Source organism: Homo sapiens, chromosome 5 (genome assembly GCF_000001405.40).
Source record: "Homo sapiens chromosome 5, GRCh38.p14 Primary Assembly".
Classification (NCBI taxonomy): domain Eukaryota; kingdom Metazoa; phylum Chordata; class Mammalia; order Primates; family Hominidae; genus Homo; species Homo sapiens.
Window position 1 is genome coordinate 57,641,962 of NC_000005.10, and position 5,441 is coordinate 57,647,402.

Below are 5,441 nucleotides of genomic sequence, written 5' to 3' on the forward strand. Positions count from 1 at the left end.
TACAGCTTCTGGACATGCCATGGGGACCTTGTAGAGAAGGAGCATGGGACATTCAGTGACAATGTGGCCCAAACTGCCCATCATGAGCTGAGTTCTAACAGACCATGTTGTAAGTTCAGGCAGGCCCAGCAGAACCTACTGTGAGGTAGACTTTGTACCTCCAGGATAGGGATAACCAGGAAGAAAGGACATAATGAGCTGCACGAGCAGGTGGCCCAGGCCCTTTTATCATTTACCATAGTCTTGCCGGCCCTCATTGCCTTGCCCTCAGGTCACCTCAAATCAGGAGCCTCCCTGCTGACAAGCTGTTGGGAATAACAAAGGCTAACCTTGGCTCACAATGGGTAGGCTTGCTATGTGGGTTGTACAAGTGAAAGCTGACTGCTGCTGCATCTCATCCCCTTGCAGGAATGAACCTGAAGCAAAGCGGTTGATGGGAATCTTCCCAGTGTGTGCTGGATGAACTGTATGTTCAAACCATTTGATTAATCATGACATTTTACGGGCCAATAGAAGAAAGTGTATGCATCAGGGGTTGGGATTTGGACAGGTCATTTTTGGAGGAGAGTAAGAGGATGGCAAGATGGTGCCAGAAGCTGCTGTAACTGAGGCGGTTATCTGTAAAAAGAAGTGGTCCAAAGGGTTTTGGAAGTAAATTTATCTGCCTTCTGTATGCTGCACATGGCCAGCCCTTTAACATAGGGCTGTTTATCACTCTAGCTCCCCTAGGTCCTTTTGGGAAAGTGTAGAGATCAAGGTAAAATATTTTCCTGCAATGGCATATGTCATCTGAACTTAGGTACCTTATGAAACAAAAGATGCAGGAAACACAAAAACAGTTATGGCTACTTAGCAAAGAGGACAGGGCATAATGGAGGAAATGAGAGAATTTAAAAAGAGAAAGAGAAAGGAGAAGAGAGCAGAGGAGAGAGTTTGGGAAGTATTAGGTTGGTGCAAAAGTAATTGCGGTTTTTACCATTACTTTTAATAGCAAAAACCGCAATAACTTTTGCACCAACCTAACATGTAGCACTCAAATGTGTACCTATATGTGGTATTGATTAGATCTTATTTGGAAAGATCTCAAAAGTTTTCAAGGTTTTTGTTTTTCTTTCTTAAGAGAACCAATAAAAAGGAAGAAAATCATTTTTTTGAAACGGAGGTAGCAATATATTGGAAGTCAGGAGACTTGTCCTTTCATCTTTACTTTGATACTCACTGATTTTGTGACTTAAGGTGATTCCTTTTTGGCCTTGGTTTTACTGTTTTTAGACTAACCAGTGAATTTAATGAACTCTGAGTTTCTTCCTAACGTTTGCTTATTTTCCTACTTCTTTGGATAAAGACTGGAACAACAGAAGTACTGAAACAAATAACAATGAAAAAAGTGGGGAAAGTAATTGATTAAAAGGAGGAAGAACACTGCACAAAGAGGAAAGACCCATGAGAAAGGGGGAAACTAAGAACTTTTAGTTTTGAAAGTTTTTTCTAATTTTGATAGATTTAGGAGGTACAAGTACAGTTTTCTTACATGGATACACTGTGTAGTGGTGAAGCCTGGGCTTTTAGTGTTACGATCACCCAAATAGTGTAAATTGTACCCAGCAGTTAATTTCTCATCCCTTGTGTTTCTCCCACCCTCCTGCTTTTTCAAGTCTCCAGTATCTATTATTTCACTCTGTCCATGTGTGTACATTATTTAGCTTCTGTTTATCAGTGAGAACACATGACATTTGACTTTCTGCGTCTGAGTTATATCGCTTAAGACAATGGCCTCCAGTTTCATCTATGTTGTTGTTTCCTTCTTTTTTATGGATGAGTAGCATTTCATGCTACATATAACACAACATTTTCTGTATCTAATAATCCATGGGTGGACATTTAGGTTGATTCAATGACCTTGCTACTGTGAATAGTGCTGTAATAAACATACAAGTCTATCTATCTTTCTGGTAGAACAATGTTTTTTACTTTTGTATATATACCCAGTAATGGGATTGCGCTGTCAAATGGTAGTTCTATTTTTAATTCTTCGAGAAATCTCCATACTGTTTTCCATAGAGGTTGTATTAATTTATATTGATGTAAATTACATGATGTACATTGATGATATTCCACCAACAGTGTATAAGTCTTCCCTTTTCTCTGCATCGTCATCAACATTTCTTGTTTTGTGACTTTCATAATGGCCATTCTGCCTGGTGTAAGAGGGTATCTCACTGTGGTTTTAATTTGCATTTATCCGATGATTAGTGGTGTTGAGCATTCTTTGACATGTTTTTTGGCCACTTGTATGTCTTCTTTTGTAGAATGTCTGTTCATGTCCTTTGCCCAATATTTAATGGGTTTTTTTTGTTGTTGTTTTCCTGTTGAGCTGTTTGCACTCCTTGATTCTGGGTATTAGTCCTTTGTTGGATGCATTGTTTGCAAGCACTTTCTTCCTTTCTGTAGGTTGTCTGCTTACTCTGTTGATTATTTCTTTTGCTGTGGTGAAGCTTTTTGGTTCAATTAAATCTCATTTGTTTATTATTGGTTTTGTTGCACTTGCTTTTGAGGTCTTAGTCATAAATTATTTGTCTAAGCCAATGTCCATAAGAGTTTTTCCTAGGTTTTCTTCTAGGATTTTTATGGTTTCAGTTCTTACATTGAGTCTTTAATCCATCCTGAGTTAATTTTTGTATGTGGTGATAAGTAGGAGTCCAGTTTATTTCTTCTGCATATGGCTTTGAAATTTTCCCAGCACCATTTATTGAATAAAGTATCCTTTCTGCATTATATATTTTTGTCAATTTTGTCGAAGCTCAGTTGGTTGTAGATATATGACTTTATTTCTGGGTTCTCTATTCTGTTCCATTAATCTATGTGTCTATTGTTATACCAGTTCCAGGCTGTTTGGGTTACCATAGCGTTGTAGTATAATTAGAAGTTGGGTAATGCGATGGCTCCAGCTTTGCTCTTTTTGCTTAAAATTGGTTTGGCTTTTAAGGCTCCTTTCTAATTCAGTATGAATTTCAGGATTGTTTTTAGTAATTCTGTGAAAAATGACATTGGTAATTCAATAGAAATAATATTGAATCTGTAGATTGCTTTTGGCAATATAGTTTTTTGTTTTTGTTTTTTTGTTGTTGTTGTTTTTTCAATGATGTTGGCTTTTCCAATCCATGAGCATGGGATGTTTTCCATTTGCTTATGTCATCTACAATTTCTTTTAACAGTGTTTTGTAGTTCTCTTTGTAAAGATCTCTCACCTTCTGGGTTAAATGTATTCCTGGGTATTTTATTGTTTTATAGCTATTGTAAATGAAATAGACTTCTTGATGTGGTTCTCAGCTTGATCATTATTGGTCTCACGCCTGTAATCCCAACACTTTGGGAGGCTGAGGTGGGCAGATCACGAGGTCAGGAGATCAAGACCATCCTGGCTAACCCAGTGAAACCCATCTCTACTAAAAATACAAAAAACAAATATATATATATAGCCAGGCGTAGTGGCCCACACCTGTAATCCCAGCTACTCGGGAGGCTGAGGCAGAATAGTTTGAACCTGGGTGGTGGCGGTTGCAGTGAGCTGAGATCGTGCCACTGCACTCCAGCCTCGGTGACAGAGTGAGACTTCATCTCAAAAAAGAAAAAAAATAAAAGGTACTGATTTTTATACACTGATTTTGTATCCTGAAACTTTACTAAAGTCATATATCAACTCTAGGAGTCTTTTGGAGGACTCTTTAGGGTTTTCCAGGTATAAGATCACATCATCAGTGAACAGATCATTTGACTTCTTTTCCAATTTTAATGCGTTTAATATTTCTTTCTCTTGTCTAATTGCTCTAAGACTTCCAGTACTATGTTGAACAGGTATAGTGAAAGAGGGCATCCTTGCCTTGATCTGGTTCTCAGAGAAAATGCTTTCAAATTTTTTCTATGCAGTACAATGTTGACTATGGGTATGTTGTATATGGCTTTTATTATTTTGGAGTATGTTCCTTCTAGGCCTAGTTTGTTGAGGGTTTTCATCATGAAGGGATGTTGAACTTTGTTAAATGCTTTTTCTGTATCTATTGAGATAATTACTTGGTTTTTACTTTTAATTCTGTTTTTGTAGTAATTCACATTATTTATTTGCATATGTTGAACAATCCTTGAATTCCTGGAATAAAACCCATTTGTTTGCAGTGTATTATCTTTTAGATGTGTTGTTACATTCAGTTTGCTAGTATTTTGTTGAAGATTTTTACATCTATGTTCATCAGGAATATTGGCTCGTAGTTTTCTTCTTTTGCTATGTCCTTGCCTGCATTTGGTATCAGGATGATACTAGCTTCAGAGAATGAGTTAGGGAGGAGTTCTTCTGTCTCAATTTTTTGGAACACTTTCAGTAGAATTGATGCCATTTCTTTGTAAATTTGGTAGAATTTGGCTGTGAATCTGTCTATGCTTTGGCTTATTTTTTTGGGAGGAGAATTAAAATTACCAATTCAATCTCACTACTGATTAATCATCCGCACAGGATTTCTATTTTCTCCTGGTTCAATTTTGGGAGATTGTATGTTTCCAGGAATTTGTCCATTTCCTCTAGGTTTTCTAGTTTGTGTGCATAGAGCTGTTCATAGTAGTCTCTGATGCTCTCTTGTAATTTTGTGATAGCAGTTGTAATGTCTCTTTTTTCATCTCTGATTGTGCTTATTTGAATCTTCTGTCTTTTTTTTCCCTTGGTTAATCTAGTTAGTAGTCTATCAATTTTATTTATCTTTTCAAAAAGCCAACTTTTTGTTTTTTTGGTTCATTGTATAGTTTTTTTTTGGTCTCAATTTCATTTTTGTTCTGATTTTTGTTATTTACTTTCTTCTGCTAGCTTTGGGTTTGGTTTATTCTTATTTTTCTAGTTTTTGGAGGTGCAGTGTTAGGTTGTTAATTTGTAATTTTTCTATCTTTGTTTTTTTGATATAGGCATTTAGTGCTATAAACCTCCCTCTTAGTGCTGCTTTTGCTACATCCCAGAGATTTTGGTATGTTATAGCTCTATTTTCATGTGTTTCAAAAATTTTTTAAATTTTCATCCTAATTTTGTCTTTGACCCAAAGATCATTCAGGAGCAGGTTGTTTAATTTCATTGTATTTGTATAGTTTTGAGTGTTCCTCTTGGTATTGATTTCAAGTTTCATTCCACTGTGGCCCAAGAAGATAACTGATATAATTTTGTTTTTTGTTTAATTTATCGAGACTTGTTTTGTGACCTAACATGTTGTCTATTCTGGAAAATGTTCCATGTCCTGATGAGAAGAAAATATATATTCCATGGTTGTTGAATAGAATGTTCTGTAAATGCCTATTAGGTCCTTTTGGTCTAGAGTACAATTTAAGTCCAGAGTTTCCTTGTTAGTTTTCTGCTTCTATGATCTAGTGCTGTCAGTGAGGTGTTGGAGTCTTTCACCATTATTATG

At 36.4% G+C, this 5,441-nt stretch overlaps 1 annotated feature.

Moving 5' to 3' along the window:
- Positions 1-579: an enhancer, noted in NCBI's record as "OCT4-NANOG hESC enhancer chr5:56937789-56938367 (GRCh37/hg19 assembly coordinates)". NCBI's record gives its function as "activates a minimal SCP1, AML or CMV promoter by ChIP-STARR-seq in naive and primed H9 embryonic stem cells {active_cell/tissue: H9 hESC(naive and primed)}" and the evidence as "EXISTENCE:reporter gene assay evidence [ECO:0000049][PMID:30033119]".